The sequence below is a fragment of the Homo sapiens genome, chromosome 11 (genome assembly GCF_000001405.40).
Source record: "Homo sapiens chromosome 11, GRCh38.p14 Primary Assembly".
NCBI classification, from domain to species: domain Eukaryota; kingdom Metazoa; phylum Chordata; class Mammalia; order Primates; family Hominidae; genus Homo; species Homo sapiens.
Window position 1 is genome coordinate 64821186 of NC_000011.10, and position 24060 is coordinate 64845245.

At 60.5% G+C, this 24060-nt stretch overlaps 1 protein-coding gene across 17 annotated transcripts, besides 7 other annotated features; it reads right to left on the reverse strand.

The window, feature by feature from the left end:
• Positions 1-1866: 1866 nt before the first annotated feature.
• On the reverse strand, positions 1867-23468 carry CDC42BPG (CDC42 binding protein kinase gamma). 17 transcript variants are annotated; one of them, XM_011545160.4, is made up of 38 exons: positions 23225-23468; positions 22731-22898; positions 20628-20719; positions 20465-20548; positions 19368-19463; positions 18935-19083; positions 18293-18386; positions 17848-18048; positions 17469-17717; positions 16898-16977; positions 15737-15834; positions 15554-15634; positions 15242-15345; positions 14932-15111; positions 14577-14666; positions 14315-14436; positions 14162-14234; positions 13862-13968; positions 13664-13778; positions 13244-13392; positions 13081-13169; positions 12740-12792; positions 12553-12651; positions 12415-12474; positions 12046-12205; positions 11641-11774; positions 11419-11558; positions 11243-11324; positions 10320-10536; positions 9009-9071; positions 8286-8885; positions 6501-6598; positions 6342-6426; positions 6093-6213; positions 5865-5982; positions 5486-5609; positions 5285-5370; positions 1867-3344 (listed from the first exon to the last, which is right to left on the reverse strand). In XM_011545160.4, exons 4-38 carry the CDS (start codon positions 20504-20506, stop codon positions 3288-3290), a joined length of 4416 nt encoding a protein of 1471 aa, XP_011543462.1. In that variant the 5' UTR covers positions 20507-20548; positions 20628-20719; positions 22731-22898; positions 23225-23468; the 3' UTR covers positions 1867-3287. The 17 variants fall into 17 exon arrangements, 15 of the variants coding, with proteins under 15 accessions (XP_011543462.1, XP_047283204.1, XP_011543458.1 ...); XM_047427248.1 differs by lacking the exon at positions 22731-22898 and having other exon boundaries at positions 12046-12151; positions 15554-15613; XM_011545156.4 differs by lacking the exon at positions 22731-22898 and having other exon boundaries at positions 15554-15613.
• Positions 5823-6323: an enhancer, noted in NCBI's record as "H3K4me1 hESC enhancer chr11:64594480-64594980 (GRCh37/hg19 assembly coordinates)". NCBI's record gives its function as "activates a minimal SCP1, AML or CMV promoter by ChIP-STARR-seq in naive H9 embryonic stem cells {active_cell/tissue: H9 hESC(naive)}" and the evidence as "EXISTENCE:reporter gene assay evidence [ECO:0000049][PMID:30033119]".
• Positions 20506-21318: an enhancer, noted in NCBI's record as "H3K27ac-H3K4me1 hESC enhancer chr11:64609163-64609975 (GRCh37/hg19 assembly coordinates)". NCBI's record gives its function as "activates a minimal SCP1, AML or CMV promoter by ChIP-STARR-seq in naive H9 embryonic stem cells {active_cell/tissue: H9 hESC(naive)}" and the evidence as "EXISTENCE:reporter gene assay evidence [ECO:0000049][PMID:30033119]".
• Positions 21812-22106: an enhancer, noted in NCBI's record as "tiled region #8286; HepG2 Activating DNase unmatched - State 1:Tss". NCBI's record gives its function as "activates a minimal TATA promoter and a strong SV40 promoter by Sharpr-MPRA in HepG2 cells {active_cell/tissue: HepG2}" and the evidence as "EXISTENCE:reporter gene assay evidence [ECO:0000049][PMID:27701403]".
• Positions 22131-22943: an enhancer, noted in NCBI's record as "H3K27ac-H3K4me1 hESC enhancer chr11:64610788-64611600 (GRCh37/hg19 assembly coordinates)". NCBI's record gives its function as "activates a minimal SCP1, AML or CMV promoter by ChIP-STARR-seq in naive and primed H9 embryonic stem cells {active_cell/tissue: H9 hESC(naive and primed)}" and the evidence as "EXISTENCE:reporter gene assay evidence [ECO:0000049][PMID:30033119]".
• Positions 23158-23207: a silencer, noted in NCBI's record as "silent region_3492". NCBI's record gives its function as "represses an Ori minimal core promoter by ATAC-STARR-seq in GM12878 lymphoblastoid cells {active_cell/tissue: GM12878}" and the evidence as "EXISTENCE:reporter gene assay evidence [ECO:0000049][PMID:35858748]".
• Positions 23238-23287: a silencer, noted in NCBI's record as "silent region_3493". NCBI's record gives its function as "represses an Ori minimal core promoter by ATAC-STARR-seq in GM12878 lymphoblastoid cells {active_cell/tissue: GM12878}" and the evidence as "EXISTENCE:reporter gene assay evidence [ECO:0000049][PMID:35858748]".
• Positions 23298-23647: a silencer, noted in NCBI's record as "silent region_3494". NCBI's record gives its function as "represses an Ori minimal core promoter by ATAC-STARR-seq in GM12878 lymphoblastoid cells {active_cell/tissue: GM12878}" and the evidence as "EXISTENCE:reporter gene assay evidence [ECO:0000049][PMID:35858748]".

The following is a 24060-nucleotide window of genomic DNA, read 5'->3' on the forward strand; positions in this document are numbered from 1 at the left end:
TTTTTTTGTTTTGTTTTGTTTTTGTTGTTTGTTTGTTTGAGGCAGGGTCTTTCTCTGTTGCCCAGGCTGGAGTGCAGTGGTGCAAACATAGCTCACTGCAGCCTCAAACTCCTGGTCTCCAGAGATCCTCCCACCTCAGCCTCCCAAAGTGCTAAGATTATAGGTGTGAGCCACTTCAGCCAGCCTGTGATAAGTTTTATTTTATTTTGAGACAGAGTCTTGCTCTACCACCCAGGCTGGAGTGCAGTGGCGCGATCTCAGCTCACCACAACCTCTGCCTCCTGGGTTTAAGCCATTCTCCTGCCTCAGCCTCCTGAGTAGCTGGGATTACAGGTGCACACCACCACACCCGGCTAATTTCTGTATTTTTAGTAGAGACGGGGTTTCACCATGTTGGCCAGGCTAGTTTTGAACTCATCCGCCCACCTCGGCCTCCCAAAGTGCTGGGATTATAGGCGTGAGCCACCGTGCCAGCCCTGAGATAGGTTTTACGATTCCCATTTACAGATGCGGAAACTAAGGCCAGGTAACTTGCCTGTGGCTGCATAGCTAGACCAGAATCCAGGCTGCCTGACTCTCATGCCTGGGCCCCTAACCAGGCCCTAGAATTCCAGACACCCTCCAATCCCCATTCCCAACCACGTAGTGGCCCCGTCTCTTTTCAGTACTTTCCCCTAGCTTTAGGGCCTGCCATAAGCCTCAGAGCATAGCCATTGGCTGCCCCAGGCGTGCCCTGAAGCTAGGGCACACTCCTTCCCCTCCTTCCCCATTCAGCCCAGCCTTGAGGCCTGGGTCCTGCTAAGTCTTGGACACCCCAGCCAAGAATAAGTGAAACCCCTCCCAGACCTTCCCCTGCTCCCTCTTCATCAGCCTCACCTGGGTGGGCAGCAGGGCACTGGATACCCATGGTGTGCCCTTCGGATCCACTTCCCCCTTCTCCACCCTGCTCTGTGCCAAGACTGCCCACTACAACCTACAGTTACTGAGTTTTTTTTTTTTCTTGAGACGGGAGTTTCACTCTTGTTGCCCAGGCTGGAGTGCAATGGCGCGATCTCGGCTCACTGCAACCTCCGCCTCCTGGGTTCAAGCGACTCTCCTGCCTCAGCCTTCCAAGTAGCTGGGATTACAGGTGCCCGCCACGATGCCCGGCTAATTTTTGTATTTTTAGTAGAGATGGAGTTTCACCATGTTGGCCAGGCTGATGTCAAACTCCCGACCTCAGGTGATCCACCTGCCTAGGCCTCCCAAAGTACTGGGATTACAGGTGTGAGCCACCAAGCCACGACTTTTTTTTCCTTTTTTTTTGAGACAGAGTCTTGCTCTGTCACTCAGGCTGGAGTGCGGTGGCACAGTCCGCCCGCTTTGGCCTTCCAAAGTGCTGGGATTACAGGCTTGAGCCACCGTGCCCAGCCAGTTCACTGAATTCTTGGAGCCTCTGGCTGCTGGTTGAATTTGGACAAAGGGAGGCAGAAAATGGGAGGGAGTGAGGCGGAGGAATTTATTTCCTAGGCTGCCTTTCAGCTCAGCCATGGTCAAGTTTTACCAAAAGCTAGAGCTCCTGTCGGGTAGCACCACTGCCTCTTCCTGCCTGGGTGGCCTGGGGGTCCTAAGAGCTCCTCTCTGCTGCCCGGGCCCTGAGGCACTGCCATTCATTGGTGTGTTCCCTTAGCACTGTGCATGCTTCTGTAAACTGCCCTTCGTTAGTTAAGTCCCTTCATTTACCCCATTTGAATGTCACCTGATTCCTGAAAAGGCAGGGAAGACAATCTGGCCTTTAACTGTCTGTGACACCCCCACTGTTCCCTCCATTCCTAATCTCCCACCTTCTGAACCCCAAGAGGACAGATCCAGGCAAGGAGGCCAGCAGCTTACAAAGCTGTCTTTATTGGTTTCCTTTTCTTTTCTTTTTTTTTTTTTTTGAGACGGAGTCTCACTCTGTCACCCAGGCTGGAGTGCAGTGGCGCGATCTCGGCTCACTGCAAGCTCCGCCTCCCGGGTTCACGCCATTCTCCTGCCTCAGCCTCCCGAGTAGCAGGGACTACAGGCACCCGTCACCACGCCCGGCTAATTTTTTGTATTTTTAGTAGAGATGGGGTTTCACCGTGTTAGCCAGGATGGTCTCAATCTCCTGACCTCGGGATCTGCCCGCCTCGGCCTCCCAAAGTGCTGGGATTACAGGCGTGAGCCACCGCGCCCGGCATCTTTATTGGTTTCTTGCGCCTCACAGAGCATCAGGGTCTGTCCCTCCTGGGAATGTGGCATTTGAGGAGATAAATACTTATTTTGCCCCCCACACTTCAGTGGGGGGAGGTTTAATAAAAATAGTAATATAATAACAATATAATGACTGTGATCAATAGTAAAATGCGCCCTAGTTTCCAATACACAACTGGTTGAAGATTCGAGAAAAACGACCCCCTTTCTGGGAAGGGCCAGAGTGTGCCCGGAGACCCTCCAGTGGCCCCCACTGGGTACCCATCTCCCACCAAAAAGCCCTTATAAATACCCTCCCCATCCTGTCCCTGTCCAGGATTCTCTTCCCCGATGGGAGGATTGGCTGACAGTGTCAGCCCCGCCCACTGCACCCCTCCCCAGAGAAAGGACCCTTTGTTCTCCAGACTCCCTCTCTCCTCCATCCCTCTTTTTGTCTCCCTCCTCTTCTTCATCGCTCCTCCTTCGTCCCTCTCCCCTCTTCCTCTGCACGGCTTCTACCTCCTTCCAATTCCTATCACCTCCTCCTCCACTTCCTTCCTCCTATCCTGTCTCTCACCTCCTTCGCCTACATCCTTTCCCTCCTTCTCTATCTTCCCTTCTTCTGGATCACAGCCTGTTTTTCTCACCCAGACGCTAAGCAGAGACGGGGACATGCCCCATCTTGGCCTCAGCTGGGAGTCAGACAGTCCACAGATAAGACCTCCAACCTGTTCCCAGAGACCCAGTCCCTCTCCATCCCTCATCCCAACTCTTACAAGCCTCTGGGGGCTTGGCACTGGAAATAAGAGCTTTGGCACAATCACCCCTGGACACCAGAACAAAAGGGGCCATTCTATTCCCAATGGCTTAGAAAGGCTGGGGCTGGGAACAGAGGGGTAAGGCAGGATGAGGGCTGGGAGTCAGGACCCCCAAGTCCTGGGAACCCAGGCAAGTCTCCCAGTCATTGCCCAGCCCGGGTCCTCCCTGAGTCCGAATTTCCATGTCCCGGACCAGCCGGAGTATGGCATTCCTCAAGCTCTTTGCTCCCTCATGTCCTTCTGCCCTGGGATTGGGGTGGGCCCTAACAGAGGGCATCAAGGAGAGCTCTCCAATTCAGGGGATAGGGGGAGGCTTCGGGGCCGTTCTGAGACCTGCAGGAGAAAGAAAAGGAAGTCAAGGGGTAGGATCAGGAAGAACTCTTTCCTCATAGGGCTGGTGGGTCCTGGAGGCCCCCTTAGGACCCATCACCCACTGTATCAGGGCCCCTGGAGGAAGCCAGATGTGAGGTGAGGAGTAGAGGTGGTAAATGGGTCACTGGAAGAACCTGGAGAGCTCCTACTTAACTTTGAATGGACTCAAAGTCCTTTTTTTTTTCTTTTTTTCTGAGACAGAGTCTTGCTCTGTCGCCTAGCCTGGAGTGCAATAATGGCATGATCTTGGCTCACTGCAACCTCTGCCTCCCAGGTTCTAGTGATTCTCCTGCCTCTGCCTCCCAGGTAGCTGGGATGACAGGCATGCACCACCATGCCTAGTTAATTTTTGTTTTTCGTTTTTTTTTTTGGAGACAGAGTCTCGCTCTGGAGGCTGGAATGCAGTGGCATGATCTTGGCTCACTGCAACCTCCGCCTCCCAGGTTCAAGTGATTCTCCTGCCTCGGCCCACCAGGTAGCTGGGATTACAAGCATGCACCACCAGGCCCAGCTAATTTTTGTATTTTTAGTAGAGACAGGGTTTCACCATGTTGGCCAGGCTGGTCTTGAACTCTTGACCTCAAGTGATCTGCCTGCCTCAGCCTCCCAAAGTGCTGCGATTACAGGGGTGAGCCACAGCGCCCAGCCTCAAAGTCCCTTTGTTCATTCACTCCATTCTTCCTTCAGTCGACCACATGCTTTACTCTGGGCAGAAGAATGAAGCCTGACCCCCACCACCAAGGAGCCCACAGTCAACAGAGGAGAACAGGCACCAGAAGAAACCCACAGCACAGCAGAAGCTGCAAGGAAGGTGTGGAGGGAGCGGGGTGGCAAAGGTGGCACCAGCCCCAGGGAGGCAATGACTACCTGACCAAGCGGCCAGGAAGGCTCCTTTGAAGATGATCCTGGTGGGTCACCTGGAGGGCAGTCTGATGTTGGTTAAGGTGAAGATAGAGAAAAGGCATTCAAAACAGAGGGGACTGCAGGGGCAAGAGCCTGCAGGTGTGGAAGAACATGGCAAGCCCCAGGGCTCCAAGTGGCCTGGTGTGACGGGAGTGGGTGGATGTGTGTGCTGTAGACGTGGCTGCAGGGGGAATGGGAACCTCCCTGGCTTCTCTTAGGTTTTCCCCTGCCCTCATTCAGAATGGACTGCTCCCTCCTCTGACCCCCCAACTCCCTGCTGTGGACTGGGCCTCTATTAAGAATCCCAAGAGTGGCCGGGCATGGTGGCTCACATCAGTAATCCCAACACTTTGGGAGGCCAAGGTGGGCGGATCACTTGAGGTCAGGAGTTCGAGACCAGCCTGGCCAACATAATGAAACCCCATCTCTACTTAAAATACAAGAATTAGCTGGGCATGGTGATGCATGCCTGTAATACCAGCGACTTGGGAGAGGCTGAGGTAGGAGACTTGCTCAAATGTGGGAGGTGGGGGTTGCACTGACCGAGATTGTGCCACTGCACTCCAGTCTGGGTGACAGAGTGAGACTCCATCTGGAAAAAAAAAAAAAAAAAAGAATCCCAAGAGCTCCCCTTCTGTGGCACCTTCCCCATGCCAGGTACTATGCTGAGCCCTTCGCAGGTATCATCAGCTCATGCAGGCCTCCCAGAAACCACATCATTTTACAGGTAAGACAAGATCAGGGAGGTTGGGCATTTTGCCCAGAGCCACACAGCTGGAACAGTCAGAGCCAAGATTCCCACCTAGGCTGGCCTGCATCCAGGATCCTGCTGGTGCCCACTGGTGGGGTGAGACAGGTAAGAATCTGCATCTCGTAGAATCGAGGGCAGGGATGGGCTCAGCTTGTTCCCTAGCCTAGGTCACTGTGCAAGGCCTAGCATAAAACGGAACTGCCTGACGTTTGAATAGGGGACGGACAAGCCTCCCGGACCCGCTCACCTGCATTAGGGAGGTTGCAGGGCTCAGCGATCCCTGGGGGCAGGACACAGACTCGCTGGACAGGGATGTCCAGGGTTTCCTCTTCACTGCTCCAGCAGCAGACGAGGAGACAAAAATACCAAGATCAGATTTCAGGGATCCAAAGGGGGTAGAAACTTGGGGTGGGGGGTGGCACACTGGAGGCTGAGGGGCTGCCCTTACTGGGGTCTGCGTCTCCACCGAGGCCTTCGCTGCCCATGGAGGCTGGGCGCCGCAACGCCTCGGAGAAGCTGTGGGGCCGCTGTGGGCCGGAGCCGCGGGCAACTCGGCCCTTCTCTTCGGGAGCCTGTTGGGTGACAGTGCGGAGGGGCTGGGACTAGCAGGCACAAGGAGGACAAGAGGCCCAAGGCACAACAGACCAGGACAAATGAACGCCACTGGGCCCCCAGCCTGGTTTTACTTAAGTCCCAGGTAGCAGAAGTGTGAGTCCCAGGCCTTAGGAGTAATTACAGCGGCCCGTGATTGGCTAGAGCTCACCACAGAGGCCGGTTATTGGCTCAGCCTCACCAAAGTGGCTTGTGATTGGCTCCAGAGGACTAACCGGGGACTTGTCCCTGGCGCCGGGCCGCCCGTTGGCAGGGCCCACGTGTACTAGGTGGTTGAAGTTGGTAGGCGGCGAGATGAGCTTGGAGCGCACAAAAGGGTCCTTCAGCATCTCCCTGTGGGCGGAGGTGTAAGTAGTGGGTGGCGAAGCTCCACCCTCCCTTCGACCCGTCCACAAGCGGAGGCGGCCCCACCCAGCCTCAGCCCCCGCGTCGTGCACGCGCACCTGCGCTGCTGCTTCTGCTGCTCCTCCGACACGCGGAAAAAGAAGCGGCGCTTGCTCTTGGTGCGGAACAGCTGGCGCCGGCTGTTGTCGGTGAGGTCCGGGATGTCGAACTCGTCCTTCTCTGTGGGAGAAGTGGAGAGCTGGGCTGTGCTCACACATTCCCGGGGCCCAGTCAGCTGGCATTCAGGGCCACACAGCCACACGTGCGCACTGGGGAACGCACACACCCGTACACACGCACTCCCTCACCTGCCAGCTGGTTCCTGAGGTAGGTCAGGCGGACCTTCTCGGTGCCGTAGAGGAACAGGGAGCCCTCTGGATTGAGGGGCCGCACCTGAGGCAGCAGGCACAGCGGTCAGGCCACGCCTCCACCCCCGGCGCTACCCCAGGGCTCTGGCGGACCCTCACCTTCTTGAGCGGCACGGTCTGCACCCATTCTGCCCTCCTCACGTCAAACACATCGATGGAGTTCTCGCTGAACACTGTCAGGTAGGGGGCCGCATACCCTGCGGGCACGCCAGGCACCTCTGAGCTGTTTCCCCCTCTGTTCCACAGGGAACACCTTGTCCCCTGCCACAGCACAGTAACTACCATGCCCCACGCTAAGGTCCTTCCTCTGAAGACTCCCTGTCGCCCGGCCCAGCCTCCACATCAAATCAGAGATAACCCTGGACCACTCACCACATGCCTGGCTCAGTTCTAAACACGACATGCTTTTCCTGCCTTAATTTTCTAACAACTCTGAGCAAGTACTACTGTTATAATCCCTAATTTCCAGATGAGGGAATGGAACCCCTGGAGCCATGTGATGGTCAAGGTCAGGTCACTCAGCTGGTCCTGAGAGCTGCGATTTGGCCCTGGGCAGCTTGGGTGATATGCGGCACCCAACCTGCAGGCCCCACCCCAAAGAGCCATTGCTCACGAAGGACACTCTGCCCCTCTCTTCCAGCCCTTACCCATCATGCTAGTTACTTGTGCATGCACCAGACTGCCCCACTGCCTCATTCATTCATTCATTCACTCTTCCACTCATTCCTCCAAGCCCATCGCCCCTGGAGTGTGCCACCCTGGGCTGGGGGCTTGATGTGGATGAGGAAACCAGCCCCGGCCCATTCTGTGGGACCCCAGTGCACCAAGCCAGTCATGAAGTGGAGGCGATGAGAGCCGTGACACAGGTCTGGACGGAGAGAGAGTGGGGCAAAGAGAAGGAAAGGACCAATGACGGGGAAGCAGGGCGGGGAGCACGAAGGCAATGGTGACCACAGCAATCGCAGCGGTTATCTTTGGAGCGCCTACCAGCTCCAGGCCCTGAGCTGACACTGGGGTGGTACCTAGTTAAGAGTTTGCCAGGTACAGGCCGGGGCCGGTGGCTCACACCTGTAATCCCAGCACTTTGGGAGGCCGCGCGGGAGGATTGCTTGAGTTCAGGAGTTTGAGACTCCCAGCCTGCGCAATATGGCGAAACCCCATCTCTGAAAAAATACAAAAATTAGGCTGGACGCGTTGGCTAACGCCTGTAATCCCAGCACTTTGGGAGGCCAAGGCAGGTGGATCACTTGGTCAGGAGTTTGAGACCAGCCTGGCCAACATGGTGAAACCCCGTCTCCACTAAAAATACAAAAATTAGCTGGGTGTGGTGGCGTGCACCTGTAGTCCCAGCTACTAGGGAGGCTGAGGCAGGAGAATCACCTGAACCCGGGAAGCAAAGGTTGCAGTGAGCCGAGATCACACCACTGCACTCCAGCCTGGCGACAGAGTGAGACTCCTCTGTCTCAAACAAAACAAAACAAAAATTAGCCAGGCGTGATGGCACACACCTGTGCCCCCAGTTACTCGAGAGGGTGAGGTGGGAGGATCACTTGACCCCAGGAGGCGGAGGTGGCAGTGAGTCGAGATTGTGCCACTGTACTCCAGCCTGGTGACAGACAGAGACCCTGTCTCAAAAGAAAAAAAAAGTTTGCTAGATAGAAACAAAAGGAGAGCGGCTCAGGCAGGAGAGGAGCATGAGCTCAGCCATGGAAAAGGAAGGTCCCCTGCAAGCCACAGAGGGTGGGACAGGGTGTTGTTGGGCTGGAGGATGCAAACTGGCACCAAAGGCCTCCAATGCCAGGCTCATGAGTTGAGGCGGGACCCTGTCTTCACCCACCCACTGAAGGTGCCTGGCCCCCCTGCCAAGCCCTCAGCAGGCCTTACCCCAGCCCATGGGCGCTGCTGGCCACAACAGCTCGTGGCCACGAGACTTGCGGCCTGCGCCATCCACGTAGATGCCAGCAGTGGTGAAGAGTAGCAGGAACTCGCTGAGGCTAAGCTCCACGGCACCCAGTGCCTCACCCAGGCCCCCGCGGGATGGTGGCAGCTCCTCAGGCACCAAACCGGCCCCCAGCGCCAACGGCGCAGCCTCGTTGAGCAGCGGGTAGAGTGCAAAGCCACCGGCGGCGCCCACACATAGCCGGTCGCCCAGCAGCCCCAGGCTCTGCACAGTGGCAGGTGCCTGCAGCTCACGGATGCGGCGCTGCCAGGGCCCAGGGCCCGGGCCCAGCTGGTAGCAGAGCACCTGGCGCTTGACGGCTACACAGAGCACCGGGGTGCGGGCCTGCAGGATGCTTCCAGCTGCCAGCACCTGGCAGCCTCGAGACTCGGGGATCTTGGCACCTGCTACCTCTATGTTCTCCAGCTCCGCCAGGGCAAAGAGACGCACGCTGGGGCCGCGGCCACACAGCACGACCAGCAGGCCTGCACTGGGGCTCAAGGTCAGCTGCTGCACGCGCCGGCACTCCCCCACCTGGAAGATGTCTGCAGGGTTGGCGAGGGGAGAGTGTCACTGGCAGGTGGTTGAAGAGTGACCCATCCCCATCCTCCTCTGCCCGCTGGGGCTGCCCCTGCCCACGCCCACCCTAGCCCAGCTTTGATAGGTACCGTTGCTGCGCAGATGGATGACAAAGAGCCCCTCCTCGGTGCCAAGCGCAAGTCGATCCTGGTCTGGTAGAGGGAGGCAGAGGGTCAGAGGTCAGCAGTCCCACTCAATGACACGGAGATTGGGCAGTCCACCTGCCCTGCTGTGCCTGTTTATCTTGAGGAAATGGGGGTGGCAATAATCCCGCTGTCCCTGCCTCACTGACCCTTCTCTCCCAGTCTGGACAGGCTTTTCCAGAGGGGTTGGGGTGAGGCCCATCATCTTGAGCTGTGGGATTTTGGGTAAGTCATGTCACCTCTCAGAGCCTTGGTTTCCTTATGTAAACTGGGGACAACGATGGTACTTCCTCACAGAGCAACTCTGAGGAAGCGAGGAAGTGATGCAGGGGAGGGTTCAGCAGAGCCCCTTGCTCAATAAATCCCCTCCCCTCTGGTTCCCGACTGCTCCAGGGACCCGCACAACCTCTCCTGTGTCTCCCGCCCTGAGAGCCGGGCCTGGCTCAGGGCCTCAGCTGCTGGGGAACGCCAAGGAGCTCTGTTTCATGCCTCTTTCCCAGCCTTAGTTACAGAAGAGCCCTGCTGAGCCCCAGGTTCAAGGCTGAGCACAAGTGAAGCTCTTCGCAGCTCCACCCAGGAGATGTTATGAGGCTCTGGGTGGTTCTACAGCAGCTCCCCCAGTCCCCCAGCTTGTAGTGAGACAGCCAGGACTGAACCTTCGTTTCTCTCTTTCTAAAGCCTTTGTTCCAGCTGGGCACGGTGGCCCATGCCTATAATTCCAGCACTTTGGGAGGCCAAGGTGGGTGGATCACCTGAGGTCAGGAGTTCGAGACCAGCCTGGCCAACATGCTGAAACCCCGTCTCTACTAAAAATACAAAAAATAGCCAGGCGAGGTGGTGCATGCCTGCAATCCCAGCTACTCTGGAGGCTGAGACAGGAGAATCGCTTGAATCTGGGAGGCGGAGGTTGCAGTGAGCTGAGATTGCACTGCTGAGCTCCAGCCTGGGCGACCGAGCGAGACTCTGTCTCAAAAAAAGAAAAAGAAAAAAAAAAAGCCTTTGTTCCTTCCACTTGCTTGAGATTCTTTTGGAAAAAGCAGAAACTGAGGCACAGCGAAATGGAGTGGGGATAAGCCAGGCCCCCTACCTGGGGGCCCAGCCATGCACACAGGAGGCTGGAGCACATACGTGGTGCAAGGCAGTCTGTGTCTCGTGGCTGCAGGGAATGGGCAGTAGCAGTGGCCCTTGGGACTATTCCTAGACACCAGCACTCCCGCAGGCCTGAACTGCTTCCTCCAGTCCCCTCCACCAGCTCACCGAGGATGGCAGCGCAGAGCGTGTGAGGCAGCAGCGGCAGCCCGTTGTCGTAAGCCTCCTTGAGTGTGTACACGGGCCGGGGTCTTGGCCGCGCGTCCAGCAGCAGCCGCTGCAGCTCACCCAGCACCTGCAGCCAGCGTTCCCGCTCCCCCTCGCTCTCTGCCAGCAGCAGCACAGTGCACGTGGTGGGCGGCACTGCCAGCTGGGAGGTTGTCACCTGTGGGCAAGGACCCCAGCTGGAGGGCCGTGGACCAGAGCCATCTGTCCTCCCTCCCTTCCTGCCTCCAGCAGCCGCTGTGCCCCGGGGGCCTAGCGTGCACTGTCAGCAGCAGGGAGTAGGCCAGACAGGCAAACAGACAACTCCAGAGCCATGCGACCAGCGCCATAATGGGGCAAGGACGGGCCTAGTGGGAACACAGAGGGACCCAAACCGGGGCCGGGAAGTGAAGGATGACTTCCCAGGAGACCAGACATTTCTGCTGAAGCCTGAGGGACGAGTAACTAACCAGGAGTAGTCAAGGTAGGTGAGGGGCTGGGCTCCAGTGCAGGGCCGGCAATTTCGTGCAAAGACAGATGTGAAGGACTGAGAATGTGGTGCACACAGGCACAGGGCGCCTTCAGAACTGGAGAGAGCAAGGTGTGACCAGAGCAGAGACAGGTGCCAAGGGAGAGGGCTGGGAGGCCTGCAGGGTCAGAGCCTTGGGGCCTCAAGGGCTAGGTCAGGAGCACCCCGAGCCCCGCAGACGATGGGAAGCCACAGCAGATCCTAAACGAGGTGAGACCGGGCCAGGTGCTCACGTGGAAAGCGTGCTGTGGTTGTGGGCTGGCCCAAGAGGGCAGTATGAAGTGGGGGGACAGTGGCCAGAGCTGGGACAGCATGGGGAGGTGGATGGTGGCTGCTCCATCTCATCCCAGGCACTCACCCTAAAGATGCGTGGCAGGTCCCTGGATTGGGCATGGATAACATCAGAGGCCAGGACAGGGGTAGCCGAGAACTGGGGGTCCCTGGGAGGTTCACAGAACAGGTCAGAAATCTCCCTGTCCCTGACTGCCCCCCTTACCACTAGTCCCTTGCCCCATGCCACTGCCCGGCACCTACCTCAGATCTAGGACCTGCAGGAGGGCCCCACTGGGCGGGCTGAGCCTCAGGTCAGGGGCGTCAAACAGCAGCAGGCGTGAGTCACTCAGGGCAGCAAACACGCGCTGCCAGCCCCGCCGGACACCTGAGGGCCGCGGCACCTGGCGGAAAGGCAAGCATGGGAGGGCTGCAGGGACCCTCAGCCCCCCATGCCCATCTTCCCCTCCCTCGGCCCCCACTCACCGACAGAAAGCCCTCATAGGCAGTGCCTGTGCCTGTTTCGGGGTGTACTCCCAGGGCTGTGCGGAGGAGGTCAGGGGGCACGGGGCAGGGTGGGGCCTGTGGGGCACAGGTTGTGTGACAAAAGTAGCCGCAGGCTGTGGGGAAAGTGGAGAAGGTGGATGAGGTGAGGCTGGGAGGGGACAGCCCCAAACCAGGACGGGGGCATGTCCAGAGCCAGCTTCCCTGAAGCCACGGTGGCACCCGAACTGTCCCCAATTCCTCATCAAGTGAGAAAAGGAACAAAGCTGAGCAGGAGGAAATTTGACCAGCAGGTGCCAGTGACCCTGGGATGGGAGAAACAGCCTGGGTATGCCAGGGCCACACACCTGGGACCGTGGCTGGAGCATAGTGGGTGGGGACTCTCACCATCACAACCCAGGCCCTGGCGGCCCAGGCCCAGCATCAGCGAGGTGCAGCGGAGACACTTGGTCGGGGATGGGAAGCTCCGGGGGCGCAGCGTGTGTGAGCCGGGCTGGGGAGGGGGACAGCCATTACCCAAGGCCTCCCAGGGCCCCATGCCCCATCCCTGAGGGGTCAGGAAAGACAAGGGGCTGAGCCAGGCAACAGTGACCTCCGAGTCCCAGCCAATCTATGGCGGCAGGCAAGCTCATCGCCACCACCTCCACCCCAATTGTGCCTGCTAGCCACGATGCACGTGGAGTGTCCCCACAGTGCCCATTCAGCCTGGCAGAACTGCTTGGTGCCCCCACCCTGCTTGCCCCTCTGGGCACTGACCTTAGCAGGAAGACCTTCTGTAGAGGCTGTGTTGGCAGTGGGTGCTCTGGGGAACACAGCCTGCAGGAGGGCGGGGGAGCAGGTGAGACGGGCAAGGGCGGGGCCCAGGCCCCCTACGATGGACCCACCTGTCCTCACCCCCATGCGCAGGCTGCGTCGGCCCTCCGGCCTCAGATCTGGCTCTCCTCCATGCCTTGTGGCCTCTCCTGAGATGCCAGGGTCCTTGGCAGAATCCTTCTGGGGGTGGGAGAGAGAGGAGCAAAGTCAAGGTCCCTGTGCCTCTCCCAGAACTTCTCCCCAACAAGCCCCTTGGCCTGGTCCTTACCTCTGAGCTCCGGAAGGACAGGAAGGGAATCAGGGAGTTTGAGGGCTTGGTGTCTGCAAAGAAAGGGTGGGTCACTGGCCTGGGGTCCCTGGCCTGAGGAACTAGGGTCCAGGAGGGGCCTCAGTTCCCACCTCAGTAAAATGGGAAATGACCACAGGGTGGGGCAGGGCTGGGCACAGCAGGCACTCCAGAAGTGCTGGTCACAGATGATGGAGTAAGCGGCAGAGTCCAGGAACAGACTCCTGTCTCCACCACCCTGCCAGGCCATCGTGGAGCCCCCTTGGCAAGTGGGAGGCCGCGGGGGAGCCTGGCTCCGGGGCAAGCAGTTGGCAGCCACTCACCCACTGGCCCTCGGGCCCGCAGCTCCTCCCGCAGCATGGCGAGCTCCTGTTGCAGGGCCTGGCTCTGCTTCTCGGCCTCCTGCAGACGGCTGGGGAGAATGGCAAGGGCTCGCCACTGGCCTCTGTGCGGGCCCTGGCCCCCAGTGCCTGCCCCTAGCCTCACCGCTCAGCCTGCAGCTGGGCCTCCTGCACCTGTGTCAGCCGCTCCTGCAGGCCCTGCTTGGCGCGGATCTCGGCCTCCAGCGCTGACTGCAGCTCCAGCCTGGCCGAGGCCTCCATCTTCTGCAGTCGCCGCGCCTTCCACTGGTGGTCCTGGTGGCCACGGAGCACCCGTATAAGATGCTTTCTAGGCCTGGCTGCCTCAGGGACCCCCTGCTACCAGAGCATCCTGCTACCCATGCCACCCAGCCAGGCTCAAAGCTCCAGCTCAGCCAATGACCCACTGTGAGCTCAGGGAAATCACTATCTCTCATGAGCTTGGTGTCCCCACCTCCAGTAGTGACCTTCAGTAGCAGGGATGCTGAGCTCACGGAAGGTCAGTGACTTGCCCAAGCCAGCCCCCAGGGGCATCTCTGGGGCTCACCAGTGGCCGGGCAGGGAGCGTCTGGGTGCCTACGTTCCTCAAGGACTCCAGCTCCTCTGCCATCTTGGTGGCCAGGGCCTGCAGGTAGCCTCTTGAGACCTTCTCATCATTCACCCTGAATGGGAAGGGGCTCAGGGTCATGGGCTGGGCCCTCAGTCTCGCCTGCGTTCCCCACCCCGACCCACCCCTGGCACCCACCAGCTGAGGATGTCGGCGAGCTGGGCCTCCCAGTTGCTCTCCGTCTCCCGCCGCTCACCCTCCAGCCGCTGCTTGCTCTCCTGCTCCTGGGCCAGCTCTGCTTCTAGCTGGGGCCGGCCAGAGGAAAGGTCAGCCCCAGGCCCCAGCAGTCCTGGGACTGCCGTCTCCCTGTAGGTACCCCAGCACCCCGAGCCCCGTCCATGTCCACCCTGCTCACTGGCTGCAGCTTGCCCACCCCTCAACTGGCTCCCCATTGCCTTGTCCGTCTGTTGTACCCTCCGTCTGTTGTACCCTGCTCACCCGCTCCTGCTCCCGGCTCAGCCTCCGGTTTTCCTCCTGCAGCTGGCACAGAGCCTCCTCCTTACCACTCGGCCTGGGGAGGAGAAGGCCAAGGCCGTGACTCACCGCCCAGGCCAGGCCCGGCCCCTCCCTGCCACCAGCTGCCTGGCTCACCTGTGGCTGTGGGCCTGCTCCAGCTGCTCTCGCAGGGCGGCCACCTCCTTCCTCAGTTGGGCCTCCTGAGGCCCACCCTCAGGGGGTCCCATCCCGTTGGTCTCAGAGGCTGTGTGGATGGTCTTGGGGACATGGAGGGGGTCAGGGCAGAGACCCAAGATGCCATGGCCCACCCACCTGGGACACAGGCCTGGCCCTGAGGCTCTGAGTGGGGTCAGGCTGGTGGGGAAGCACCTCTTGCCAAGGGGGAGGACTTGACTACCTTGGCCTGGGACGACTCCTCAAGGCGTTGCTCCCACTGTCCCTGCAGCTGCGTCACCTGCCGGCTCAGGGAGGACACCTGGGCCTCCAGCTGTGAGGGGTGCAGAGGCAGGCCACTGCCAACTCTGCCCTCGGCAGCCCCTCTGCCCACCTTACCATGGACTCCAGACCTGCCAGCCACAGTGGACATGAGGAGGCATGGACTCCCAGACTGCCCCGTCCCAGCCACCATCCCCTGGCCTAGCCTCTGCCAGCTACAACCGGGAGGCAGCATCTCCCACCAAGCTCCCCATGCTCCCTCCAGGCACACTGGGGGCAGGGCCCAGGTGCTGTCCCTACCCACCCTGGTCACTCACCTCCCTCTGGGCAGCCCGGGCTTCCTCCAGCTGGGAGCTCAGGGCCCGGGTCTGGCTAGCTGTGGCCGCCTCTCTCTCCTGGGCCTCCTGTAGCCTCTGAAGCAGCTCCTCCTGCTGCCCCTGGGCCCTGCAGAGCTCCTGCTCCTGAGCCTGCAGCCCTGCCCGACCCTCGGCCAGCTCCTGAGGAGGCAGGGGAGGGAGCGGGGAAGGACAAGGCCCAGAGTCAGGCACGAACCGTCCATGGAGCCCAGGGCCACTCACCCACCTCACCCACCTCACCCAGCCCTCACCCACCTCACCCAGCCCTCACCCGGTGAAGTCGGTCAAGCTCCTGCCGTAGGTCACTGTCCTGACCTGGGCTACCAGCTGGGGGCCCATCCGTCTGGGACAATGAGGCCTTGTCCCTCAGCATCTCTGCCAGGAAGAGTCACTGAGACCTCGAGTGCTGGCGGCCCCAGCCTCTCAGCCCAGGAGCAAGTCTCCTTGGCCTGTTTCCCACACGCGGGCTCAGAGAGTATAAAATGCTCTCCCAGGATCATACAGCTTGTCCAGGGCAGGGCAGGACCCGAGCCCAGGTGGGACTCAGCCCTGGGGGGGGGGGGGGGGTGGGCGGAAGGGATACCTGGCAGCCTGTCCCGCAGAGTCTGCACTTCCTTCCGTAGCTGCTCCAGCTCCCGATGGTCTGTGGGGGCGTGCAGGGCCTCTGGAGGGGAGGTGGTACCCACAGGTGAGTCCACTCCTCCATTCCCGCAGCAGCAGCCCCTAGGGCCAGCACACCCAGGCCCGGCCCAGCCGCTCCCAGTACCTTGGTGCTTCCTGCTCAGCTCCACCTTCTCCTGCTCCAGACACTGGAGCTTCCGCTCCAGGGCAGCCCAAGCCTCAGAGCTGCTCTCAGGACTGTGACTGTAGGGGGACAGGGGCCATGTTTGTTGGTAGAAACCTCACCCCACAGAGTCTCCTCCATCCTCCTGGACCGAATCACTCATTAATTGTGAAACAGCCAAAACAGACCCTGCCCTCGGGAGACCCCAGACTGGTGCCACGGGTGGCAGCCCGGGGTAGCAGCTGCAGGGCACAGGCTCCGGGTCCAGGCCCAGGTTTAAACCCTCATCCTGGCCCTTACAAGCTGTATCACCTCGAACCCAATGTATTTTACCCTCAGTTTCCCCAGGGGAAGATGGTGGTGACAAGGCCTCTCCCCAGGGCTGTCGAGGACAGGATGTGGTGACAGTGGCCCGGCTGGTCTAGAGGAGTGGGGATCTGACCCATTTCCTTCCACCTCAGAGCACACCGCACCAGGACCTCACTGCGGTCTCAGGCCAGCCCCTCGAATGGGAGTAGGTGGAGATAATCCCACCCATTTTGAGACAGAGTCGCTCTGTCACCCAGGCTGGAGTGCAGTGGCGCAATCTCAGCTCACTGCAACCTCCGCCTCCCGCGTTCAAGCGATTCTCGCTGCCTCAGCCTCCCAAGTAGCTGGGATTACAGGCGCCCGCCACCACGCCCGGCTAATTTTTGTATTTTTAGTAGAGATGGGGTTTCACTATGTTGGCCAGGCTGGTCTCGAACTCCTGACCTCAGGCGATCCACCCGCCTCGACCTCCCTAAGTGCTGGGATTACAACCATAAGCCACCACGCCTGGTCCATCCCACCCATTTTACAGAGCCACAAAGTGAGGCCTGGGAGCAGTAGGGGCCTTCGAACCCTGCACCTCTGGCTCTAGGTGCAGCGCACCCTCGACCTTCGTGGAAGGCGCCATGAGAGCCATGTGCTGGCATGTGGCCCAGCAGGACCTGGGTGTGGCTTCACCAGGACCCCGAGGATGAGGGCTAGAGCACCTGCCACATGCAGATACTGGGGAGCCCTTCTGCCCTCCTTCCCAGGGCCCCAGTGGGCTACGCGCCCAGTGTCCTCCAGGTCAGGCAACCCCGAGCCTCCCACCAGGTGTGTGAGGACTAGCCTCACCTGCCTGAGGTGTAGGTGAAGCCCACGAATGGCAGGTGATGGCCGGAGAAGGCCCCGTGGGAGGGCGGTGGCAGGGTCCCCTGCAGAGGGAGAGGGAAGGAGAGTCAGAGTCCACAGGCCAAGGCCCGAGGCCCAAGGCCCAGGAGCCCCCTGGGACCAGGTGCGACCACCTCCTGCACAGGTGGGAACTCAGGGGGGTAACACAGCCCAACCCAAACAAACCCCCAGCTCCCACAAGTCTCCTAGGAGCTGCTGGGAGTTTTCTTCCTTATACGGATTCTAGTTAATAGAATGATACCTGTGGTCAGAGGCCCTTCCCTTGACACAGCCCACCTCAGTGCAGGCAAGCATGGGGAGCCTGTGGGAGATGCTCCCCCACCCCAGTTTGGCTGGAAGAGGCTGGGCCAGCGGATGGTGGCTGGAACGGGTCAGTCTGGGAGTCCATAAATCATAAGCCCCGGTGTCTGAAGGCCTCACCCCCAGCCCACCCCAGGGGACTTCAGAGGGAGGGTTCCCCCAGCCAACAAGGGGGTAGGGCAGCTCCCCTCCTGCAGTGGCCTTTGCCACTCACTGGATGGTTGAGGGTGTCGTCATCCACATCAAAGTTGGAGGTGTCCATGGGCCCCCGCAGCTCAGGAATATAGGGGGCCGTGCTGCTCGCCAGCCGCTCCCAGTCCACGCCTTCGAAGAAAGGATGGTTCCGGAAGTCATCCAGCCCACCACGGCCTAGCCGCTCTTCCTGGCGACACAGCAGCTGGCGGATCAGGTCTTGGGCGCTGGCTGGCACGTCAGGCACGTCCGGGGGGAACTGCAGGTGGTCCTGTGGGTCGGGGGAGGGGGCAGGCTGGGTCAAGTGTCCAGGAACCCAGCCTCACCTGCCGGTACTTCCAACCACACAGACTCAGGGGTCCCACTGCCCCCTCTGGAAGCCCAGAGCCTGGTGTCCAGACCTCGTGGTTCATGATCTTGCCGTAGGTTTCCACCAAGGACTCAGCATAGAAGGGCGTCTCCCCAAAGAGCAGCTCATAGGCGCAGACTCCAAGCGACCACCAGTCACACTGTGGGCCGTAGTGGCCCTTGCCCTCCTCCATGGCCTGCAGGATCTCAGGGGAGATATAGTCCGGCGTCCCTACTGCCACTGATGAATCCACCTGTGGGTGGTGGTGGTGAAGCCATGAGGACAGCTTTGGGCTTGGCTGGGACTGCTGGCTCCTCGCGATGGCCCTGTCACCCCTACTCTGCCAGGCTGGCCTGCTGCTGCCCACCTGGGGCCTGGGTCTCACCCACCTTCCCCGGGGGGCCTGATGCCTCTGCACTAGGCCTGGGGCCTCCCATTTTCCTGAGAGCTTGGCCCGCCTTGTATCCCCTGCTCCCACTCTGGGGCGGGGTCCTTACCATGCCGTTGGTGTTGAGACGCAGGCAGGAGCCGAAGTCAGCCAGGCGAATGTGCCCGTTCACATCCAGCAGGACGTTGTCTGGCTTGACATCCCTGGGGGATGGCAGGCAGGGAGAGTGAGGCGTTTGACCTGTGTGTAAGTGGCCATTTAGGCACACGCCCAGGTGCACATGCACGGTGTGTGCCAGCACCAGCTCACACACATTCCTGTGTGTAGGTGCTCATGTGATGAGCAACGTGTGTGTGTGTAGATGATCCCACAGGCCAGAAGGAGGAAGATGGCTAGATTGTAGAAAGGATGTGTGGGGACAACCCTTGGAGGTGGCAGAGTGTGCTATGGGGGACGCAGGAGTCAGACTTCCCCAGTGCAGACCACAGCTTGCCACCCGAGAGCCGAGTCACCTTGAGACAGGTGTTTCCCTGTGCTAAGCTCTGACCCCCTCAGCTGCAGGCCGGACACAGCAGCAGCCCCTGCCACAGAGGGCTCTTTGGTATGATTCCAAGGAAGCACACGGATGAGGCACCCAGAGAAGTGCCTGGCACATGATGAGTGCTCAGCTGACATCAGCTGTCCCCAGCACAGCTGGCAGGGGTTGGGCAGGGCAGCGGGGTTGGGCAGGGCAGCGGGGTTGGGGCCCCACCTGTGGACATAACCCAGCTGGTGCAGCGAGTGGATGGCCAGCACCATCTCAGCCAGGTAGAACTGGGCCAGCTCGGGCGGGAGACGGTCCTCGAAGCGGCTCAGCAGCGTCAGGAGGTCCCCACCAGCATAGTAGTCCATCACAAGGTACTGGAGGTGGCGGACAAGAATCAGACCCGGGGGAAGGGTGCACCTGGCCACTTCACCGCGGTCCCGCAGGGCTCTGGGAAGGCAGGCCTGCATCTCCCAGCAGCTCTGGGCTGGCCAGTTCCCAGCCAGGGCTCAGGCAGGAGGCGCCAAGCCCAGGAACTGGTGGGAAGTGGGAGTCTCTTGGTCCCAAGAGGGGTCTCTCTTTGGGCCCAGTGCCCCTGGCCCCAAGGGCCCTCTCCTGTGTCCCTAGGATGTTCCCCTCCAGCCCCGCCACGTATCCTCACCAGGTACTCCTCGTCTTGGAAGGCATAGTGCAGAGTGGTCACCCAACGGCTGTCCCCTTTCACGAGCACATCCCGCTCCTCCCGGAAACAGGCTGTCTGCAGCAGGTTTGGGGAAGTAAGGGGTGGGGTGGGATCAGAGCCCAGGATGCCCCCCTTGCCAGCTCAGGGGATGGAGAAAGATTCTGTGAGTCTGGGAGCTCAGATGGAGGTCATAGCTCTACTGTCCCCTGTCTGGCTGCGACTGAGCCCAAGCCCACGCTCTACAGCTCTGGGCCTCAGTGTGACCATATGGAAAATGGGAACGACTCTGCTTGCTTTCAAAAGGGTTTATTAGGCCTGTAATCCCAGCACTTTGGGAGGCCAAGGCAGGCAGATCACTTGAGATCAAGAGTTGGAGACCAGCCTGGCCAATGTGGTGAAACTCCATCTCTACTAAAAATACAAGAAACTTAGCTGGGTGTCGTGGCACACGCCTGTAATCCCAGCTACTTGGGAGGCTGAGGCATGAGAATCCCTTGCACCCAGGAGGTGGAGGTTGCAGTGAGCCGAGATCACGCCACCGCACTCCAGCCTGGGTGACAGAGTGAGACTCTATCTTAAAAAAAAAAGTTTATTGTAGGCTGGGCACGGTGGTTCACGCCTGTAATCCCAGCACTTCGGGAGGCCAAGGCAGAAGGATCATCTGAGGTCAGGAGTTCGAGACCAGCCTGTCCAACATAGCAAAACCTCATCTCTACTAAAAATACAAAAATTAGCTGGGTGTGGTGGCAGGTGCCTGTAATCCCAGCTACTCGGGAGGCTGAGGCAGGAGAATTACTTGAACTGGGAGGCGGAGGTTGCAGTGAGCCAAGATAGCACCGTTGAACTCCAGCCTAGTTGACAGAGCAAGATTCCGTCTCAAAAAAAAAAAAAAAATTTAAAAAATTAAATAAAGGGTTTATTGTGAGAAAGATAACAAATCAGTGGCTGCTGAGGGTGGCACCCTTTGCCTGGTCTGCAGCCTTGCCCGCCCCCCCCGCGCCATAGGCCCTGGCAGCATACACCTCCCCCACACCCATTTGTAGGGTGCCCAAGGGCCCCCCAGACTCCACACTGACCTCAGCCCTCTTCAGCATCTCCCACTTGTGCAGCATTTTCATGGCAAAAATCTGCCCAGTGTCCCTCTGCCTCACCACGGTGACCTAAGGCCACAGGGAGGACCGGGGTGAGCCCAGCCCGGTGTGAACACCTCCCCCCACCTACCCCAGGCCCTTTGCTCACCTCCCCAAAGGCTCCTCGGCCGATCACCTTCAAGATCTCAAAGTCATCTCTCTGCAGACGCAGTTCTTTCACCTTTGATACGAAGGGGCTGGCTGAGGGGACACAGGGCGGGACTCAGAGTGCAGGGAGGGAGGGCTCCATTCCCCCTCTCACCTTGGGCAAGCCAGGAGCTGCCGCTCCTGTGAGCCCAGGCAGGGATGACCTCCCCAGGGACAGCCTCGGGCCAAGGGGTTGTGGCAGGAACTGGTGCTCCTTTGGCCATGATCAGGAAGTGCGGAAGGTCAGAGGCCGGGCTCAGCTGACCGCCTGGTCCCTGGACCTCCCTGGACCCCTGGCCCCAGACTCTAGGCAGCCTCCATCCCAGGGGCTGATGGGACTTGTAGTCCTGCCCAGTCTGCGGCCTGACTCTGCTTGGCCAGGTCACCCTGGGGACCATGGGGACACCATTCCTACCCCCACCTCACAGTTCTTGGCCCCCTCACAGGTTCAGGCCAGGGCCTGTCTTAGGAAACTGGACGGGTGACATTCCTTATCCCCAGAGAGGCTTCTCTCCCATTCAGGAGCTGTGGGCCTGGGTCCCGGGACCCTGTAGGCATAGAGGTGCCTGGTTGGGGGTGAGGCCTGCAGCCCCTAGGGCAGGGAGGACAGGCTCTATGCTTCCCACGTGGGGCCCCTCAGGCTGGAGGCATGGATGCCAGTCTGCCAAGGTGCTGAGACTCACAAACAGGACAAAGATGCCTTTCCCTGGTGCTAGCACTAGCCCCTGAAGGCGTGAGTGCTCAGGATGCCTCCAGGCCTGACCGGCTCTCTCACTCCCAGCCCTGCCTCCCTGTCTGGACGAAGCTTTTGTCTGGTCAAGAACGTCCTCTTTCCTCACATCCCAGATACCTCCAGGAAGGGCAACTCCAGCCACTCCCAGGCACTTTCCAGGCCTGGATTAGCCCCAGGTTTTGGGAAGGAATTGGGTCTTAGGGAGGCAGGAGTGATCAGTCAGGATGGGGGGCAGCTGTGGTCTGGCGCCCTGCCTCAGTTTCCCCCTGCCAGGAGGTAAACTCCCTGCCAGCTGGGCGGGTCTGTGGGTGGGACAGAGAGCTGTTCCACAGGTTTATCAGGCAGAAGCCCGCAGCGGGGGCGGGGTGGAAACCTCATTACAGAAATTCATTGTCTCTTTCCCAGGTCTGTGTGTGGAGCTGGGGAGGAGCAGCCCCGGGCCTCCCCGTGGGAGTTGAAGCCAGCACCATAGGGACCCACCCGCCAGAAGAGGGCCGAAGCCCAGGCCCACAGGCAGGAGGATCCAGGCCCCTGGACAGGCTGCCTAATCCTCTGGCCTCCCACAGGGCATGGGGGCTCCGGGCAGGAGCAGGGACAAGTAGAGACAAGCAGGAGAGGAATGAGTCACAGCCCTTTGAGTTACCTTGGGAGATTGTCAACAGAGGGCCCCCATGCCGGGGTCCCAGGCAGAGGTGCTGGAGGCAGTCAGGGAGGAGCACACATGTGTGTGCAAACACACACACGTGTGTGGGTGTCATGGGGGGGGTGACAACAACACAGGCAGACAGGCATAGCACGGAGGCATACCAGGGAGACAGGCACAGAGGCAGGGGCCTCTGACTGCCTCGCCCTGGATGGAAGGGTTGGGGCTAGGGGACAACTCCCTGGCACATCTAGGTGGCAGCCTCCCCCTCTACCCCAGGCCTTGTGCCTTCCCAGAGCTCAGGAGTGCCAGGAACGCTAGTTGCCCACTGGGCAAACACCTGCCTCACCCCGCCCTGGCCAGGCCCCCGTGCCTTTTCCCCATGGCCCGGCAGGGTGTGACCAGGGAACCCTCCAGCTGGCGCCAGTGCCCACAGTGGGTTCAGGGTCACCCCGGGCCAGCCACTCCCAATGACTCAGATGAGTCTACCAGGAAAGGTACAGACCCATCTCCAGCTAGGCCCCCCTCCCCGGCCCCGGCGCCACAGCCCCCAAGGAGCTTGGCCAGCAGCCTGCACAGGCCAAGGGTTGGAGATCGGTTCCTGAGTCCAGGCTGCAGTGGTCTTGTACCCAGGGAGCTGGGGGTGTGTGTGTTGGTGGGGGGAAGGTCTGCAAGTGTGCGATACCTACAGATCTGTGTGTTTTGCAGTGCCAATGCGGTCGGGGTGGTCTGCAGCGCTCCCTGGGTCTCTCCATGAGTTGTGTGTCTCAATGCATCCGAGAGGAAGGAGAAACAGAGCCCGTGTATCAGTGGGTGACATGCATGAGGGTCTGTGTGTGTCCTGCGTCAGGTGTGGCCTGTAAGCAAGGAAATCTGTAAGGGACTCTAGGCGGTGCACTGGGTACATGCGTCTGCGGTCGATACCTGAGCACAAGTTGGTATGTGTGTGCATGTGTCGGGGTCTGTGAGAGGGAGAGAGCGTGTGTGAGAATTGGAGTGAGGGTGAGGTGTGCAGGCGAGTGTGCGGGCCGCGGGGGTCCGGTGGTACGCGTCAGGGCCACTGCAGGGAGTCTGCGAGGGAAGCCCGTGGGGGTGCGGGTCCCTGCGGGAAAGTCTGCGGGTGCGGGGGTCTCGGCGCGATATCCCTAGGCCCGCCCCCGCTCCGTGCCGCCCCGCCACTCACCCCAGCTCAGGAACTGCGCCACGCTGCGCTCCCGCCGTAGGGGGCCGCTGCTGAGCTCGTGGTGCAGCGCCAGCAGCAGATCTAGGAGGCCGTCGAGCCCCGGGCAGCCGCCGGCCTCGCCCCGCGCCAGCTGCTCCAGCGCGCGCAGCCGCCGCTCCATGGCTGCGGCCGGAGCCTCGCTGCTCGGCTACAGTCTGGCCGCCCGCATGCCCGCCTGTCGGGCCGTCCGTCCGCCCAACCGTCTGAGGCTCTGTCCGCGCGTCCTCCCCCGCCCCTCTCCCGCCCTCCCCGCTGTCACCTTCCTCCGCCGCCGCCAGCGCGCCCTCACCTGGGCGCCGCGCCCCGCCCCCCGACGGACGGGCAGGTGCGCGCCGGCCAATGGGAGCCGCGGCTAGAGGTGAAGGTGGGGGCGGAGGCGCGCGGGGGCGGGCCCAACTCCCGGCCAGGAAGTGCGGGGGCGGGCCGGGGAGAACAACTGACTTCTGCGCGGGGCGCGGTGGGGTTCTGCGGGGTCGGAAAGACTCCCCAGATCCCCGCGCGGCCCCAGACCCAGACTTACCTGGGCCCTCCCTGGGCCCTGACCCAGGAGGCGCGGAGCACTGCAACTTCTCTCGCCCCCTGGGTCGCAGCCGCCTTGCCCTTGGCTAAGAGAGAGGGGCTAGGGACGCCCGCGGCCCCGGAGCCGGATGGGAATTGTAGTTCGCTCTCTCCATGGTTTGCCCGCGCTTGGCACCCATCGCCCCCCCGCCCCCGCCCAAAAAAAAGTTTCTGAATCTTACTTTGATTGTATCATTAGAGTTGATGTGGGAGACAGGAAGTTGGGGTAGGGATGGTCA

What these genes read in the sequence shown, in the direction of transcription:
- CDC42BPG (XM_011545155.4), bottom strand. Translation starts at nt 23,384, where the DNA reads ATGGAGCGGCGGCTGCGCGCGCTGGAGCAGCTGGCGCGGGGCGAGGCC. An exon ending in AGGAGTCGTCCCAGGCCAAG is followed by an intron (nt 14,437 to 14,576) that starts GTAGTCAAGTCC and finishes CATGTCCCCAAG; the next exon opens with ACCATCCACACAGCCTCTGA. An exon ending in GAGCAGGCCCACAGCCACAG is followed by an intron (nt 14,235 to 14,314) that starts GTGAGCCAGGCA and finishes TCTCCTCCCCAG; the next exon opens with GCCGAGTGGTAAGGAGGAGG.